The 20,403-nt window shown below is 35.7% G+C and overlaps 1 protein-coding gene across 3 annotated transcripts in view; it reads left to right on the forward strand.

Annotated features, from left to right (window-relative positions):
* SPATA17 (spermatogenesis associated 17) overlaps window positions 1–20,403 on the forward strand; it is a 240,353-nt gene that overhangs the window by 4,365 nt on the left and 215,585 nt on the right. For all 3 annotated transcript variants that reach the window (NM_001375655.1, NM_138796.4, XM_011509194.4), the window contains exons 2-3: window positions 13,174–13,263; window positions 15,389–15,470. In NM_001375655.1, the coding sequence (NP_001362584.1) occupies window positions 13,174–13,263; window positions 15,389–15,470 (172 nt within the window). The remainder of the gene's footprint in view (window positions 1–13,173; window positions 13,264–15,388; window positions 15,471–20,403) is intronic.

The following is a 20,403-nucleotide window of genomic DNA, read 5'->3' on the forward strand; positions in this document are numbered from 1 at the left end:
GGCAAGTGGTTGAGTGAGTTATTATCAGTAGAAAGAAATGAGGAATGTCTGGGTTATGATAACGGGATTGGGGAGACCTGGTTTTTATCATTTTATCATGCAGATGAAGCCTCCAAGTTGCAAGCCTTAAAAAGAGTGGACTGACGCCGGGAGCAGTGGCTCAGGCTTGTAATCCCAGCACTTCGGGAGGCCAAGGCGAGCAGATCACGAGGTCAGGAATTCGAGACCAGCCTGGCCAACATGGAGAAACCCCGTCTCTACTAAAAATACAAAAATTAGCTGCATGGGGTGGTGGGCGCCTTTAATCCCAGCTAATCGGGAGGCTGAGGCAGGAGAATCACTTGAACCCTAGAGGTGGAGGTTGCAGTGAGCCGAGATCGTGCCAATGCACTCCAGCCTGGCGACAGAATGAGACTCCGTCTCAAAAAAAAAAAAAAAAAAAGGGTGTTTTCAGCAGAGGAGTGACATGATGTGACTTCTGTCTATAAAAACAATAAATAAAAAAGTAACCTTTGACTTTCAATGTCTTCAGTTTTGGTAACAAGGTAGGGACAGAAATGCTTCTTCCTAATGGCTAGCATCAGAATAATGCTGAAGTTGAAAGATGACTTTGTTGAGAAAATATATTCCTAAGTGGTTAGGACTAAGAGGATTATCCAAATTCAAGGACACTGAACAAAATTATTATTATTATTATTGACTTATTATTATTATTATCATTTTGAGAGGGAGTCTCGCTCTGTTGCCCAGGCTGGAGTGCAGTGGCGTGATCTCAGGTCACTGCACCTCTGCCTCCCAGGTTCAGCAGATTCTCCTGCTTCAGACTCCTGAGTAGCTGGGATTACAGGCACCTGCCACCACACCCAGCTAATTTTTTTTTCTTTTTTGCATTTTTAGTGAAGACGAGTTTTCGCTATGTTGGTCAGGCTGGTCTTGAACTCCTGGGCTCAAGCCATCTGCCCACCTCGGCCTCCCAAAGTGCTGGGATTACAGGCGTGAGCCACTGGGCCCAGCCCCTTTGACTTGTTTTTAAGTTGGATAAAGCATTTTGCTTTTATTTTTCCCATTTCTACTTTCTTCCTCCACTTCCATCTTTTAACTTTTTGGTGCCAGTTTTTGCTGAACAAAATTTAAATCAAATCTGCTTGTGTCAATGAAACAAGTAAATAACACTTAAAAATTTTTAAAACACATAAGTTTTTTAACAATATGTAAGAAGAAATCAGCCAGATATATGTAAAATCTTTTTTAATTGGCTTCGCTGAAGGGAAAAGTATATTGGAGAATACAGAGAAACCAGTGGCTGAGGAAGAGGGCAAGAAGTTCTCTAGAGACATGCTATATAGACCAACTGTCAAATGTCCACATCTCTTACTATCTGAAAGGGGGCTTGAGGAGTGCATGGGGATAGAGAAAAAGAAATAGAGAAATAAATGTTATTGAATATCTACTACATGCTGAGCACTGCTTTCACAAACATTATTTTATTTGATGTTTACAATAATCTTATAAGGTTATTTTTCTTATTCCTGGGTTACAACGAAGGAATGTGAGTTTCAGACCATCTATATTACTTGCCAAATATAAAGAAGATCAAAGATCTAGTGACGTTTGATCCGTTTCAGTCCACATTTATACCTGGGAGAGGGGGATCTTTAAATTATTAAGTTTCTGCCGGGAATTAAGTTCATCAAATACATAAGCCCTAACCTGCCTTTCTAAGATCAGGTTGAGAAAAAGAAAGCAGGGGTACATTACTCTATGGTTCAAGATTGGTGATTTGCACGTACTTCATTACCCTGTAGCAACCTGAGGTATAATGTTCCTTAAGTTGTCCTGATTTCAGGATCTATTATTCCTATAAACGGAATAAATTTGTTTCTGACTCTGACATAGTAAATTGACTGTAGTTCCTCCTGTATCCTTAGTCTAATAATTTTGTTCAGTGTCCTTGAATTTGAAAAATTCTCTTAGTCCTATTAGCCTAAATAAATAGCAGCTTAGTTGAATAGATGTGAGTCCCTTCCCCTGATTCTAATTAATTACTGAATTTTTTCTTACAGGTGTACTCAATTCTGACCAATAAAACTTAGCAAAACTTCTTCCAAATACACAAGGAAGATTTTTGCCAAAGTGCAACAGTTCAAATCCTAACTCTGTATTACTTTAGGCTTAAATGTAAACTTTTAAACTTATATTCTTACCTTACTTAAACTCTTTAGATATTAGTTTTCTCATCTGTAACAGGGATAATAATGCCTATTGATATGTTAACTAAGAAGATTAAATGATCATCTGGTATATTAGTAAGTACCCAATAAATTCATAATTATAATAGGAAATCACAACAGAAGGGTAAAGTATAAAATACATATGATCGACTCAGTGAATATCGAAAAGGTAATTGAAAAATTTTTTGGCTATTCCTAAATATTTTTCTTTTTTCATTAAAAACGTAAAAATTTTTATTGCTGTATTATATACATTAAGTATATAAACTGTGTGAAGTGTACAACTCAGTAATTTTCCATAGGTATATACCTGTCCAAACTTCAGTCAGATAAAGTTCTGCAGTGTTTGTTTTAAAATATGTTTATGAAAGAAATAAGTGTTTTAATAATAAAGAATATGTTTCTAAAACCAACAGCCAACATTAGATGTGCTGCTGGAATACAATAGAGATGGTTCCATTTAATTCAAAAGCAAAACAAAACTGCACAATAATTCTGTCTATTTACCATGCCCTGAAAGACAGATCCCTATTTGCCAACATGTTCACTGCTGGCTCATTGATGGGGAAAAAGAAAATTGAAAGTACCTTTTACTGTCTTATCAGTTTATCACTGCCCAAGTAACCTGAGCAGAAAGCCCTGTATATGTATCAAACAACTGAATATCTATTAAATAGGCAGATAAACTTCACAAGACATTTAAGGAAATGTTAGTTTGGAGGAAGGAGATTAAGCTAAGAAACCAGAACAGATGGCTACTATGGAGTTAGAACTAATGGATGAAATAGATACAAACTTCAATAAAAATGTAATGTGAACTTTTACAGAAATAAAACTAGAGGAAAAAAATACTGTAACCAATTTTTAAAAATAATAATTTTCCATTTAAAAATGTAATAGATGAATTAAAAACTAGAATAGTCACTACTGAAATATAAATATGTTAGGAAGGCAAATAAAGGAAATATCCATAAACACATGTGAATAGAAATCATGAGTAATAAGATTAATAATATGGAGGACATACCCAGAGGACTTGTTATGTGAATAATAGTTACTGCAGAATTCTGACTGGGAGTGGGGAAGAGATAGAATAATAATAAAGAAATACCCTAGAAGAAAACTTCTAAACTGAAGAAAGAGTATGGCTTAGAATAGAAAGGATTATCTGAGTCCTATATAGAATTTCCTTTAACACCTACTTCTTAGATATTATCTGGTGAACTTCCAAGAATACAGGAAAAATAATCTCATAAGATTCTATTCTGGACAGAAAATAAAAATAGTTATTTGCCAAGGAAATGAATGCCCTTTCTGCTCAACACAGGAACCCAAAAGACACAAAAACAATAATTACTAATGATTCAAGACCACAGATAAGAATTCTATCAAAGATTCATTTGGGGATTGGGATGAAAGAAAGACATTTTCAGACATGTAAAGACTCCTAGTTATGTCATCTATGTACCCTACCTGACGAAATGTACTCAAGAAAGTACTTGCCGTAATCAAGTAAAAATTAAATTGGAACAAAGATCTCAAGATAGAGGAAGAAGAGCAAAAGAAATAATAGAGACAACAATGAGCAATTCTACAATAATTTTCATTTAATTAAAAATTAAATAAGCATTATGTTACTGTGATTTACCTTATATTTAATTAAGACAAATTAATCTAGAAGAAGTAAAACAAATTAAGCTGGAAGAATGCGATTGGTACTTTAATGTCCTTTCTAGATATCTCCTTAGGCAAGTTCAAAAGTTCACTGTACATTTTCAGTCTTCCAAGTGATCATAGGCAATAGTCTTGCTATAATAATTGTCCCACTCTCACATAATAGAGGTTCTTTTTCCAGCTTCTAATATCAATTTTTTCACCACTCTTCTGACCCACATGTATGGTCTCTCAATGACATGTGCATCTTCCTCACCTTCTCACGCATCCCCCAGTCCCAAAGCCAATACCATAATGTTTCAGGTTTTTGCCGTGGCCATCAACCATTCTATCAGTTTTATTTTAAGCTTTTATAGTCAAATTAGTAAATTTATTCATCTGACTTTAGCAATCTGAGTTGTTCTTGGAACAGTCTTTCCCAACCTAAGATTATATTTATTTATAATATTTATAATTATTTATAATTTATTTATAATATTTAAAAAGTTTTGTTATATTTTTCCTTCAGTCTATGTGCAGTTGTGTTTATGTGCATGTATTGTGTGAGATAGAGGCCTAACTTTTTCTATAGAATACAGTTGTCTCAACAGCAGTTATTAAATAGTCCATCCTTTTCTTACTAGTTTTAAATGTTGAATGATAAGCAAATCAAAGGCATAAAAATTGCAAAGGAAGAAGTAAAATTGTCTTTATTTACTGACAGCATAATTATATGTGTAAAAAACTCTATACCACATACAAAAAAGGATTTAGAAGTAATAAATGAACTTAACAAGTTCGCAGGATGCAAGGGCAGTATACAGTAGTCTTTACATAACAGCAATGGACAATTATAATTTAAGACTTTGGCAATACCATTTTTAATAGCATCAAAATGCATGTCATTTGACTCAGAACTGTCACTTTTTCTATTGGCCTCATAAAAATGCTCTTATGTGTACATAAGTTGTGTGTAAGAGTATTTTATATACAGGATTATGTACAAGGGCGTTCATTAAAGTATTATTCCTAATAGGGAAAAAATAAAAATAAAAACTGTAAATAACTTGTATCTATTTGCAACTACTATGGCTAAATAAAGACAAGCATATGAGGGAAAATAAATAGCAGTTTAAAAGAGTGAAACATTTTATACATAATGACATGAACAAAATCTCTGAGACAAAATAAGGTATAAGAAAAGCCCAGATTATAGAAAATATATAATACATTTAGTGTTTTTTATGTAAAACAAATGTAAAAATACATAGAGATACAAAACTGGAATTAGATAGATCTGGAATTACACATAATAAGTGGTTAAATTTTAAAAATTGAAAGAAAGTGAGGTTGAAATAGAATCTTTTTTCTCTATGTTTTTCTGTATTATTTAACATTTTATATTGAGCATCGGTTAATCAGGTACTTATTTGTGAAATAAACAGTAGATAAATGGAGAAAGTTTGTCCTAGGGCAAAAATTTTGTTTCGAAAACAAAATTAAACATAGAAAATAAGTGGCCGTGGAAGATTTAACTAGTACAAAACTTGTCCTCTGACCGTGAAGGACTAGAAGACTCAACAAAATATATGAACAATTATTTTTAGGTATTGATACAGTAGGCAATGCAAGATTTGATCTCAAGGAGAAAGATCAGCAAATGAGATTAACAAGACAATTACCCCAGCTTTCTTTTGGAGGCAATCTCTGAACAAAATTCAAACTCTCAATAGTGTAACATTCATAGCGTCTAGCATCTATTCATAAATTGGTAGTATTATAAAAATGTAGCAAATTGTGACCCACAATCAGGAGGGAAAAAAAATCAATCAACAGACACAGATCCAGAAAACAAAGATGACAGAATAATCAAGACAAGGATTTTTAAATAGCTATTTAAAATATGCTTAAGGACTTAAAAGTAAAATATGAAGATAATAAGGAGTTAATGGGACATTAAAAAGAAGCAAAATAAATGTTTAGAGATTAAAAACACAGTATCTGAAATTTAAAAATTATTAGATGCATACACATACACATATATATTTAAGTTATTGAAACAATCTCAAATTTACAGAGAAATAACAAGTATAATACAAGGGTATTTTTTCCTGAATCATATGAGAGTAAGTTGCAACCTGATGTCCCATTGTGCCCCAAATTCTTTACACACAAGGACATTCTCTATATAACCACAATTCAACCATCAAAATCAAGAAATTAACATTGGCACATTTCTACCATCTAATCTTCAGACTCCATTCAAGCTTTGCCAAATTGCTCCAATAACGTTCTTTATAGCAAAAGGATCCTGTTTGTCTTGTCTCTTTAGTTATCTTTAATATGGTACATTTTCTCAGTTTTTCTTTGATATTCATGACCTTGACACTTTTGAAGATTACAAATCAGTAATTTTTTAGAATTTCCCTTAATTTAGGTTTGTCTGATTTTTCCCCTTGATTAGATTCAGATTATGCACCCCAGGCAGGACTATCACAGAAGTGATACTGTGATCTTCTCAATGCATCCTACCAGATACTACCTGATTTTGACTTGTCCCATGACTGACAATATTCATTTAGATCACTTGATAAAGCTGTTATCTGCTAGGCTTCTCTACTGGAATATTCTTTTTTCCTTTGTAATTTATAATTATTTTTAAAAAGCAGATCATTTGAAACTATGTATGTATCCTATTCCTCATCAAACTTAAAATTTATTTATTTATTTAAATAAGTATAGACTCATAGTTTCCTATTTTATTCAGTGGGTTAAAATCTGTCACTCTTATTTATAGTCATGCTAATATTGTCCCGGATTTGGCTAGTGAGAGCCACTTCAGTCTTCCTTCTGTGTCCTCATTGTTCTAATGCTTTCCTTGCTTTTTCCTTGCTTTTTCTTGACACACAAAAAGTTGCAGACTGATATGGTTTGGCTCTGTGTCCCCACCAGATCTCATCTCGAATTGAAATCCCCCTAATCCTTACGTGTTGAAGGGCTGATCTGGTGGGAGGTGATTGGATCATGGGGGCGGTTTCCTCCGTGCTGTTCTTGTGAAAGTGAGTGAGTCCTCACCAGATCTGATGGTTTTATAAGTGTCTGACAGTTCCTGCTTTGCATGCTGTTTCTCACCTGCCGCCATGTAAGACATGTGTGCTTCTTCTTCCACCATGATTGTAAGTTTCCTGAGGGCTCCCAGCCATGCAGAACTGTGAGTCAATTAAACGTCCTTTATTGATAAGGAGGTTTATTTATTTACTTACCCAGTCTTGTGTAGTATCTTTATAGCAGTGTGAAAACGGATGAATAACAGAGGCTTATCTTGTACTTTTCCTGCCAGCCCCTAGAACCATCCATTTTTCCAAAGAGCCTTTGTTTCTTTCAGTGGATGCACATTGCTATTATGTTGCTGCTCTCTGGACCTCTCAGTGGAAAGAACAAAGGAATATGTGTTTGTACACATCTGTACACATTTTACATCTATACTTATTTCTCTACCTATTGATGAACATATATATTAAAATTCATGAGTTCACATTGACTACTCTATTTCAGATTCAGCACAATACGTTCATTCTAGTTTTTTTCTCTTACCTTTTCTGACAGAGAGAAACCTGGCTCCCATTATCTTTAGAATATTTACTTATCTGATCAGATCCTCTTTATGTAACCAAACTATTGTCACCACAACTGCCTCTTCTCTTAGACCCAGTGCGGGCTCTACCTCCTCATGCTGAACCATCGCCTCCCCACCAACTTGGATGTTTCCCTCATCACTCTTGGGCTCTGATTCTCTATACTGGCTACCTTCATGTGCAGATTCTTTTTTCATCTTCCCTCTACACCCCAAAGCCAGGCCTTCTGTCCATGGGACACACTGTCCTTGCTAAGCTCAGACTATGACATCTTACCCCAGGCAGCCCCCACTTGAGGATGCTCACCTTACCCCACACAGGCTCTGACGCCTCATGCTGAGCCACTGTGACTTCCTCCTCCCACACCCTTTGTAGCACAGTGCCCTACTTTTCCTGCCCATTTCCAAGGCCCTTGAGACTTAATTGTTCAGGAAATGAGGTAAAGAGAAGTGAGGAGGAAGAGGAAGAAAAAGAAACTCTCTCTCTCTATATATATATATATATATAATTTTTTTTTTTTAGATGGAGTCTCACTCTGTTGCCCAGGCTGGAGTGCAATGGCACGACCTCAGCTCACTGCAACTTCTGCTTCCCAGGTTCAAGCAATTCTCCTGCGTTAGCCTCCCAAGTAGCTGGGATTACAGGCACCCACCATCATGTCTGGCTAATTTTTGTATTTTTGTAGAGACAGGGTTTCACCATGTTGGCCAGGCTGGTCTTGAACTCCTGACCTCAGGTGATCTGCCCACCTCGGCCCCCAAAGTTCTGGGATTACAGGTGTGAGCCACCGCACACAGCTAGGAAACAAAATCTTTTTGAATGCACTAATATTATAGGTTCTAGTTCTAAATTATAATGACTTTGTTTTCCATGACTTCTGCACAGTATTTAACATTCGACCAACTATGGTAACTTCTACTATATGATCAAATACTAATGCATTTGCAACCCACTATTCCTTGAGCTGTGAAATAATAATAATGTTGAGGACTACTAATGAAATATAAAACATAGGTTCTAGTTCTAAAATATAGTCCTATTTCTCATCATCAAGCGTCTGTTATTAGGCACATGAGTGATAATCAGAACACAAAATATAGATTAAGTATACTATAGTTTCTGCCTTTAAGGAGCATGAAATCCTTAAGACGTAGTAGTGAAATTATATGCAAAACAATAATCATTTTACACATCAACATATCTGACAGCACAGGGCAGCTAATAATGGAATTTTATTCCCACTGTCTAAAATAGTTACAAGTTATATGATAATGAAAAAGAAAGAGTATTGAGTTTTTAATCTAGTATTTATTCATAGGTAATATACATGGGTCAGACTAAGCACAGTCTGTTGATGTGTAAAATGCATATTTTTTGCATATTACTGGAAAGATATTTAACTACACATTTTTTTTTCATTTTCTACTTATTGTCAGTTCATTTCTGGCCACTAATGATATACATGAATATACTGTTATCCAGGGTTATAGTACTTATTTCTAGTTGATGATGAAGTGACTGGAAACTTCCAGTTATTTCTTGATGTTTTATTACATTACTGGTAATACTTTTGGTCTTTCATCATTATTAATTCATTTAGTATTCATTGTGATAATACTGATCATAATAAATTTATTTCAAATTCATGTAGATGTCATATTTTATTCACTGCTATAGGATTTTCATTGTAATTTGGAACTAATTAATATACCATTAAAATAAAGTGTTACCCACATTTTTCATTTTAAACATAAAATGTCTAGCAGTTCATGACATATTGTATGAGTATTCAGCATCCCAGCGGTAACCCAGCATCTGTAAATTTTGTTTTTAAGCAGTTAAAAAAAGGGCAACAGAGAAACATGTATAGAAGTCAAATTTTAGCACATAAGTTAAAGTTTAGTAGTAAGTTAACTACTAGTTAATTTTTAGTGCCTCCTTCCTTTTAATTGCAATGTATAATTCTTATTAATATAACATATGCTTGTATATATACACATAATAATATCCCAAAAAGAAATTATTTAATTTTCTACTTGACTGGTGTCAGCAGGAGAGATTAAAAAACATAAACCCAAAACAGTTAATTTGATTGCTTCTCTTCTGCATTTCTAATGACAATTATAAATAAAGGGTGAGTTCCTACAAATACATTAATAACTAATATGGTAACTTCAAAAGAAGCATTAGATGTGTCTATGTGCCTTACTCATATTTTTCTTCCATTTTTATAAAGGTAGCCAGTTGATTGTTGGTGGGAAAGGAGAAACAAATGTTTTCAGTAATTTAAATGGACTATATTAAGAAGATGAAAAACAAATCTGGTATAGTTTGTTAAATATTAATGGTAAAAGGTTTAAATAACCATAAGAAACAGCTCTATTCTATTATCATGAATTTTATTGCACATTAGCTTTATTGAATGAAATTATTCTTATTTTTTCCACATTCTATCTTCTTTGAGTTGCCTGCTCTACTGGACATTATGTTGTTGTATCTTTTCCATGTTGGCCATTAATGACAGTGTCTTTGTTCCACTATCCCATCTTGTTACTGGTCAGGATAAGATTTTAAAAGAAAAATGAAAAATTCCTTCTAACCCTGCAACCAGTTGAATAATGACCTTGTTTTCCATGACTTCTGCACAGTATTTAACATTGCTTAATCATGATCTCCCATCCTGATGCCTTCCCATTAACTTCTATGACACTGCACTATACTTGTATCTTATGATTGGACCTTTTTTTTAAATAATTGTTGTTATTTAGTATCTTTTACTGTAAATCTTTACAGAGATTATCAAACTTTGGAGATATGTGTTTCCATGGTCAAAATGTTGATAATCAGGGAGTCTAGAATTCCTTAATATTATGCATAAAACTCTGAAAACCAAGGCCTTTTGCCTTGGCTTCAACTATTAATCTCCTCATTTCCCCCATCCTTCATTTCTGTCTTGAAATTTGTGTTTTATCATTCTCATTATAATTCTACTACATGTGTATACATCCTTAGTGAACATCCCTAAAGTTTTGTGAGGTTTTTACTTATGTAAATAAAATTATTCTGTATCTGTTCAAAGTCCAAACTGTTTCCTAGCAGCAATATATATGAATTCTTAACACTAACACTTGGTATAGTCTGAAATTTTGGGATGTTGCTATAGATGTTTGTATCATTTCAAATACTCATCTCTCAGTTTATTTTATGGTTTTAGGGAGATTGGTGCTACCTTTTCCCACAAAGTCTCCATATTATATTTAGAAATTGATTACATGAATTTTTTTTGCGTTTTCCTTTTCTTCCATTTTACTTTCCCTTTCTTCTGCTCTTTTCATTTCTTACTCTCTTCCCCTTTAGAAGCAGTGATGGTTAAAAACCCAGCCTCTGAGCTGAGCACGGTGGCTCACAACTGTAATCCCAGCACTTTGGGAGGCCGAGGTGGGTGGATCACGAGATCAGGAGTTCAAGACCAGCCTGGCCAATATGGTGAAACCCTGTCTCTACTAAAAATACAAAAATTAACCAGGCATGGTGGCGTGCACCTGTAGTTCCAGCTACTCGGAGGCTAAGGCAGAAGAATCACTTGAACCCGGGAGGCGGAGATTGCAGTGAGCCGAGATCACACCACTGCACTCCAGCCTGGGCAACAGAGCAAGACTCTGTTTCAAAAAAACCCAAACAAACCAACAAACAAACAAAAAAACCAGCCTCTAGAGCAGGACTACCAAGGATTAAATGCCAGCTGTGACACTTACTAAAGATGTGACCTTGGGCATATGACTATGCTTTCTCCACAGTGGTATCTTCTTCTGTCAAATGGGGATAATAATTCTCTTCTTCAGAGGGGTATTGAAAGGATTATGTATGAGTTAATTCACTGATATGTGAAATATTAGAAACAGTGCCTGACATATAAGGTTTTATTTAGTAAAACGTATTTATTTCCTTCTATTTCTCTCAACAGCTCCTTTCATGTCTGCCTGTCTTTTTCCCATCATCACCCAGGGGTTAAGTTACTAAGAAGATAGAGGCACTCATGGGCTCTCAGCAACTATGTCATCCTAAAGTAGGGAGAGGTTTCAATGTTGGGAGTAGATCTAGTGAGGGAAGCCTGTGAGTGGCATTTCTCACCGGGATGGAATATGCCAACAGGCATGTTTCTCCCTCAGGTAGCACCTTTGGTAAGACAAAGTTGAGTGTTAGGAGTAATACCAATGATCTCTCCTGAGGCCATGGGGAATACAGTATAGGACAAAATAGATAAGACTACTTCCTTCGATGTTTCAAGTTTAGTGGAAGAGACCATCGTTAAATAATTTTTAAATATGATTGTGGCAAATATTATGAAGCTATCAGAGTGTAACATGGAAAGGCCTAATTGTAGTCTGGGAAGTCAGGGAAAGTTCTCTGGAGAAAAGGACTTTAAGCTGTTCTCCCTCCCACATGGAGGACAATAATATGATGCCAGAATTCACTTTAGTCAAGCCTCTTTTTAAAATTTTTTTTTTTATTTTGAGACAGAGTCTTGCTCTGTCGCCCAGGCTGGAGTGCAATGGCGCTATCTCAGCTCATTGCAAACTCTGCCTCCCGGGTTCAAGCGATTCTTCTGTCTCGGCCCCCGAGTAGCTGGGATTACAGGAGCCCGCCACCACGCTTGGCTAATTTTTGTATTTTTAGTAGAAACGGAGTTTCACCACGTTGGCCAGGCTAGTCTCGAAATCCTGACCTCAGATGATCCGCCCACCTTGGCCTCCGAGAGTGCTGGGATTACAGGCATGAGTCACCAAGCGGGCCTTACTCAAACCTCTTTTGTAGTTTGTTACATGCAGTACAAATATACAACAATAAGGAATCATTCCTTTCTTCTATTCCTAATTGTCTAGAGTGGTCTTACACTCTTAATTATTTCCAGCAGATTTTATTGCATCATATAGTAATCTTATCATGGTGCCTTCCGTTCATTATCAGGTAATGCAACTATTTATATATTGTTTTGTGTGGTTTTTACAGTTTATTTTACACTTAATCTACACTTTATGTAGTCTTACTGATTTGTGTGAATTCTCCCTATATTGTACATGTCTCACATCTGGATCACTGACTTGAATTTCTTATCTCTATATAAACCCTATGGCCCTCCCCTTGCCTCCTTTAATTAAACAGACTTTCTGAGAATTCTAGCTATTAATGGAACAGGCATTCTGTGATGGGTTCATTTAACTTAGAGACAACTCATTTAACTGATGAATGAGTGAAATATGTGAGCATTTTCATCTTGCATGATACATGTGTAGTAGCATTTAAACAGTAAATTCAAATGATTATGTTTTAAAAATAATGTCAAAATAACACATTTCTTACTTACTCCCTAATAAAAATCACTGGCAAATTAATTAGTTGTAAAATTGGTGATTATCAAAATAAAAAAAGCAAAGCTGTTGAAAGCACATGGCTTCTCAGAGAAAGGTTAATTTTCAAAACATAGCTCATGATTTTTGAAATGCCTTATTTATTTATACTTTAATGTTATTTAAAATGACATTTGAATTTATAATTATCATCTTGGAAGAAATTAAAAATCAAGTTTAACAGGTTGACTTGCTTTAGAATTATATTAGTTACTAATGAAGTGCTTTTTAAACATTTTGTTTTAGTGTTGTAGATCCATTTAGAAAAAAGGAGAATGATGCAGCAGTTAAAATCCAAAGCTGGTTTCGAGGATGTCAAGTTCGGGCATATATCAGGTATATTGCTTTTGTCATGGAAACCTCAGATATATCATAAAAATATATTCCTTAGAAAATGTAATTTATTCATGAAGTACTCATTTCAAATAATTTTTTATTTTACTCATAATGTAGTTGATAAATTGTATGTATTTCTTTTAAAAGAAATACATAGTATTTCTGATCTTTTCTTACCAAAACTAAATTATATGGACTGTATTGCTTTTTAAAATTCTCAATATTGGCTGGGCGCAGTGGCTCACTCCTGTAATCCCAGCACTTTGGGAGGCTGAGGCAGATGGATCACTTGAGGTCAGGAGTTTGAGATCAGCCTGGCCAACAAGGTGAAACCCAGTCTCTACTAAAAATACAAAAATTAGCCGGGCATGGTGGTGCACATCTGTAATCCCAGGTACTTAGGAGGTCCAGGCAGGAGAATCCCTTGAACCCGGAAGGCGAAGTTTGCAGTGAGCTGAGAAGGTGCCACTGCGTTCCAGCCTGGGCAACAGAGTGAGACTCTGCCTCAAAAAAATAAAATAAAATTCTCAATATTACAAACACATTTGCTCAGATTCCTTTTCCCAAATTCCAAAGGATCTACAAATGACTGGGTTTGTATTTATAGCAATAAATTCATTGACTGGTAAGAAAGGGGGAAAAAGAGAAAACAGTTTCAATCTTTTCCACCATGTTGGTAGATAAAATAAAATGACGCATGGATGATGTCATTCTGACTATAAAAAGAGACAGAAATTTGTCCCTATCTTAACTCTTTCTCACTTTTTTTTTTTTTTTCAGTGCCCAAACTTTCCCTCAGTGTCCCATCAATTCTTAAAAAATATTTTCCTGGATAAGGTAGAGGAAAATATGCCTACTCCATAATAACTCATCAGGCCTGGAATTATCCTATATAAAACTTCCTTATACTGTCTAGTAAGAGCTAGACATGCAAACTTAAAGTGTGAAGACAAGGCTTCTCTCTTTTTTTTTTTTTTTTTTTTCTGAAACGGAGTTTTGCTCTTGTTGTCCAGGCTGCAGTGCAATGGCACCATTTCGGTTCACCGCAACCTCCGCCTCCCAGATTCAAGCGATTCTCCTGCCTCAGCCTCTCGGGTAGCTGGGATTACAGGCATGTGCCACCATGCCTGGATAATTTTGTATATTTAGTAGAGGCGGGGTTTCTCCATGTTGGTCAGGCTGGTCTCGAACTCCCGACCTCAGGTGATCCGCCCGCCTTGGCTTCCCAAAGTGCCGGGATAACAGGCATGAGCCACGGCGCCTGGAAGACAAGACTTCTCTTTTGGCCACTATATAAACTAAGGAACATGGTGGCAAATAGAGTATTTTTGAATTCAGCAGACTAACATGATGTTGGCTTGGATAGACTGAGGATTACAGGAAAAGAATGAAGAGGAGAACTATTTCTTAACCTCATGAATTCTTTCTCTCTCTCTCTTTCTCTCTTTCTCTCTCTTTTTTTTGAGACAGAGTCTTGCTCTGTCACCCAGGTTGGAGTGCAGTGGCGCGATCTCGGCTCACTGCAACCTCTGCCTCCCTGGTTCAAGTGATTCTCCTGCCTCAGCCTCCAGAATAGCCAGGACTACAGGCGCGCACCGCCACCACACCTGGCTAATTTTTGTATTTTTAGTAGAGACAGGGGCGGTTTCACCGTGTTGGCCAGGCTGGTCTCAAACTCCTAAGCTCAGGTGATCCAACCGCCTTGGCCTCCCAAAGTGCTGGGATTACGGGCATGAGCCACTGCGCCCGGCCCTCATGAATTATTTCTAATTGCTAATAATGATTTACATCAATAGTGCCTGGATTATTTCTCAACATGTCACTGTGACCTGTTTTATAGTCTTAACATTCAAAAATATGTTAAAGAGTAAGTATTGAAGAAGAATTGAAATTAAGTATTGTGTAATAATAAGCCCCAAAGAAATAACAAATAGTTACCAATGCCGTTTTCTTCCACTTCTAGAAATGATTAATTCTATCCCACAATAACTTTCTACTGTTTAAAAGTGCACATAAACTTGGCTTTGAATTTGAATTCTTGAATTGTAGGAGAGTATTTTAACAAAGATTTAACTGACCTTGTTTCAATGAAAGGATACTAATAAGCATATTTTTTTTATCCTAGGCATTTAAACAGGATTGTAACAATTATTCAAAAATGGTGGAGAAGTTTCTTAGGCAGAAAGCAATATCAACTAACTGTGCAGGTAAATATAAAATGTACATATGTTAGCATTTGAATTGTACAATATGCTGTAACTTACTCACTTTAGTCATATTTCCATATAGTTTGGAAATTACTGATGATGAGTATTTATGTAAGGACAAAATTGGGCTTAATTTTTAGTATGAGACCTATTCTTGAAAGCATTTTCTGATATTTCCATGGAGAATTGACCCATTTTTTGGTACCCAAACTACACTGATATTATTTTTGCTTGAAGTACTTTTCACAGTATGCATTTATACTTATTTATTGATGGTTATCTGTACTTTGTAGATGGTGAGCTTTTTGAGAGTGGGCACTGCAGCCCACTTCCTTTTTGGATCACCAACATTTTAGGCTAATGCCTTGCCCAGAACACAGTCAAAAAATATCCTCATAAGGACGCTAAACTGATCAAAGCAAAGAATAAGGCTTCTTTTGTCTTCTCTTCAGGACTTTCTGATAAATTTTGTTTCATAGGTATAAATAAGGTTTAAATAATTTAATAAATGATATATCATTCCAGAATGGTTTTTTATGGAAAGTTAAATATATTTGTGGTTATATCGCATGATTAATTATTATTGGAAAGCAACAAAGATTACATGGTGCTTTTATACTAGCTATTATTTATTAAACACCTGCTATATACCAGGCATGTTGTGTAATTATTTAATTTGTATGTTAGGATGCTTATTAAAAGTAACCGTCGTACTCATTTGGCAGGCTAGGAAACTCAGTCTCATCCACTTGTCCATGAACACATAGTGGTACATTTAATATACAAAGCAACCTTACAGTTGTTATAGAAGTTTTTACATTGGGCACAGTTGTCTCGTAATTGCCAAGATCCTCTGCCTAATCTCCATAAGGACAGAGACTATGTCTCATTAGTGTTGCACTCTCAAAGCATGGTGCCTGGCATATATTAAATAGTTAGCACTTATATAGATGAATAGAAGAATGAACAACGTTTCTGTTTCTACTATGCTGTGCTCCCTTTACTGGTAGAAGACAAAAATTGATACTGATTGGTCACCAGTCTGAGTATAGTATGTCTTTTTGTTTTTCCGAGATGGAGTCTCACTCTCTTCCCCAGGCTGGAGTGCAATGGCACGATTTCGTCTCACCGCAACCTCTGCCTCCTGGGTTCAAGCGATTCTCCTGCCTTAGCTTTCTGAGTAGCTGGGATTACAGGCTCCAGCCACCACACCTGGCTAATTTTTTTGTGTTTTTAGTAGAGACAGGGTTTCACCATGTTGGCCAAGCTGGTCTCAAACTCCTGACCTCAGATGATCTGCCTGCCTCGGCCTCCCAAAGTGCTGGGATTACAGGTGTGAGCCACCACGCCCGGCCAAACTTTTTTTTTTCCCTTCTCCTGTCTTGATTTTGGTTAAAAACATCATTTTAAAAAAGTAACTCTTTGAATTACTCTGAAATCAAATGCCTCTATTTCTGTTTCTGCTTAACATTTTGGAAAGGAAAAATTGGGAAGAAGATGTAACTAATAGTTACAGAATATATCCTAGGTGCCAGACACTGTGGTAAGCATTAAATATGCAATATCTCTGAGTCTTCTACCTACCTTTTGACTCTCATTGAACTGTAGAAAGAGGACAGGCTTTAGACCTGATGACGGAAGTTTGATGACTGTGGGCAAGTTATTTAACCTGTGTGGACCTTGCTTATGTCCCTTGTCTTTAAAATGAGGATAAGAATGTGTGGGAGATTTTTGTGAAAATTAAGTGAAACACTGTACGTAAAATACCCAGAACTGTGATTGGCACCTAGTCGGTGCTCAAAAATGGTAGTTTTTCATTTGTGATGCTGTTGTTAGTATTATTCAAAAACTATCGAGGCAGTTTGCTTAGAGTAATATGAGTGAGTGATTTTCAGATCAGATTAGCTCCATTTTACATTTCTCTCACTTATGCATAATCACATGATAATTTTATTATATGTGAGTGAGTGTAGTGTGTGGATAGATAGATACATAGGCATACAATTTTTATACAGTGACTCAGGAAACCTCTTACATTTTGAAGCTTGTCTTTCTTAGAATTAGTGACAATAGAAATTAGGAGGAAAGCAAAGAAACACAAAGACAGATGTCTTTAAATCTGTACTTATAATAAATAGGAAAGAAAATTGAAGAGGGAAAAGAGACTTTCAGGGTTTAAGTGTAGATATTGGATTCACCATCAATCCATCTAAACTGCTATTCAACTCATAACCCTAGAATCTACAACTTGATATTTTAGAATATTAAAGGTGATCAGGATAATTTGTATTTCCTTCATATTGTCTATGTCTCTGTGCTTATATACTAAAATTAATATAGTTAAATATATACTCTTCTATATTGTTGAAGAGTTACATCTTCATGATCTTCATAAGATGCTCTTCTGGAAACAAATGAGTGTGGTTGTAGAAACAATCGTTTTAAGAATCTTTGACAATGGCTGACATTGGACAGTGAGCCAATGGAAGCAGAAGTCAGATAGAAGGAAGTGTTGTAGATGCTTCCTGGGCATAATGTCATATTCTTAAACAGTGAAGAGGAGATTTGATTTTTCTTCTTTTACTTTTTCAATTTGAATGCCAGGGATTTTGGTAATAACCTTTTATCTGGTATACATACGAAAAACCCATATTTTCTATTTAAAGACATATAAAACCAAAGAATTCCATTGGCTACAGTATATATTCCATATTCTATCCAAACTTAATTTATACCATTTTAATACAGAATTTTTATTTCACATTTGGGTCCATTTGTCTCACAGGTATGGAAAAAATGTAATCAAATATCAGTGCTTCTTTTGTATGTGAAATTCCTATTGATGGCTTTTAAATACTATTTTTAAACACAAGTTTTCTTTCTCCACCTTCTTTCTCCCTTCCTTTTCTTCTTTCTTTCCAATTTTGACATATGATTTTTATTTATTTATTTATTCTTATTTACTTTTTTTTTTTTGGAGACAAAGTCTTGCTCTGTTGTCCAGACTGGAGTGCACTGGTGTGATCTTGGCTCACTGCAACCTCTGCCTCCCTGATTCAAACGATTCTCCTGCCTCAACTTCCCAAGTAGCTGGAATTACAGGGACCTGCCATCACGCCCGGCTAATTTTCTTGTGTTTTTGGTATAGACAGGGTTTCTCCCTGTTGGCCAGGCTGGTCTCCAACTCCTGCCTGCCTCTGCCTCCCGAAATGCAGGGATTACAGGCATGAGCCACTGTGCCCAGGTGGCATAAGATTTTTAAAATTTATTGTGCTATCATTTACATTCAGGCCACTTTAAAAAAAGTTTTAAATTTTGAAAAAATTTCAGATTTACAGAAAAGTTGCAAAAATAGTACAAAGAACTTCCATATATTCTCCACTCACATTTTTTAATCAAGTGAAAAAATTTGCATTATTATTTCCTCTTCTCTGTATACATTTTTCTCTATATACATTATTTTATTCATTTGACACAAAGTTACAGAAGTTATGCCCCCTTATCTCTCAATATATTGCATGCATATTGTTTACATAATCTTTTTTTTTTTTTTTTTTAGACAGAGTCTCGCTCTGTCGTCCCAGGGTGCAAGGGTGCGAGCTCAGCTCACTGCAACCTCTGCCTCCCGGGTTCAAGCGATTCTCCTGCCTCAGCCTCCCGAGTAGCTGGGACTACAGGCACGTGCCACCACGCCCGGCTAATTTTTGTATTTTTAGTAGAGATGGGGTTTTGCCGTGTTAGCCAGATGGTCTCAATCTCCTGACCTTGTGATATGCCCGCCTTGGCCTCCCAAAGTGCTGGGATTATAGGCGTGAGCCACCGCACCCAGCCCTACATAATCTTATTACAATATTAAAATCAGGAAATTGACATCTGTACAAAACTATTTGCTAATGTATAGACACTATTCATATTTTACTGATTGTACCAGTAATGTCATTTATAGCAAAAAATCTTTTCCAGGGTACAAACTAGGATTTCACTTTGTAGTTAGTGTTTGTTGTGTCTGTTTAGTCACCTTTAATCTAGAATAATTTTTTAGTCTGTCTTCACTTTTCATAACCCTAATATTTTTGGAGAGTACAGACTAGTTATTTTTCAGATTATTTCTCAATTTTTGCTTGCTAGTGTTTCTTCAGTGTTGGATTCTGGTTATGCATTTTTAGCAGAAATACATCTCAATACATCATATTATGATGCATATGTCATCAGTTTGTCCAATAAATGTTGTTAACTTTGATTAAAGTAGTGTCTCTCGGGTTTCTACACTGTCAACTTACTATTTGTCTCTCATGAGGGGATATTTAAATGCTATGTATACATCTTCTTCCTCATTAAACTTTTGTATGCTAGGTTTAGCATCCAATTACGATTCTTACCAGAATCAATTATTACTATAGATCTTCAACAGTGATTTTCTAATTCCATTGTTTCTCCTACATTTACTTACCAGCATTTTGCTATAAGAGATTTTCCTCTCTTCCATTTATTTATTTATTCATGTATTTATATGAGTATGAAGTAATGGATTCCTATTTTATTCAATGGGTGGGTTATGGTCAACTATTCTCACTAAATGGTTTGGTGCTCAAATAGTCCTTCGTTTTCTCACTAGGAGCTTCTTCAAACCAATTTTTGATAGAATCATATTACTTAACCAGGACGACCAAGAAATTAAGACATTCTGTGGAGTAATGAGCACCTTTAGTCCCATTATTTATAAGAATTGAGGTTGTATGTCAATGGTATGGACAAAGACAGTAGAGTATACTTATGCATATAAGACATTCCTGGGTTCAAGTGATTCTCCTGCCTCAGCCTCCCAAGTAGCTGGGATTACAGGTGCCTCCCCCACCCCCCACGCCCGGCTAGTTTTTGTATTTTTAGTAGAGATGGGGTTTCACCATGTTGGCCAGGCTGGTCTCGAACTCCT

This window comes from Homo sapiens, chromosome 1 (genome assembly GCF_000001405.40).
Source record: "Homo sapiens chromosome 1, GRCh38.p14 Primary Assembly".
In the NCBI taxonomy this organism is placed as follows: domain Eukaryota; kingdom Metazoa; phylum Chordata; class Mammalia; order Primates; family Hominidae; genus Homo; species Homo sapiens.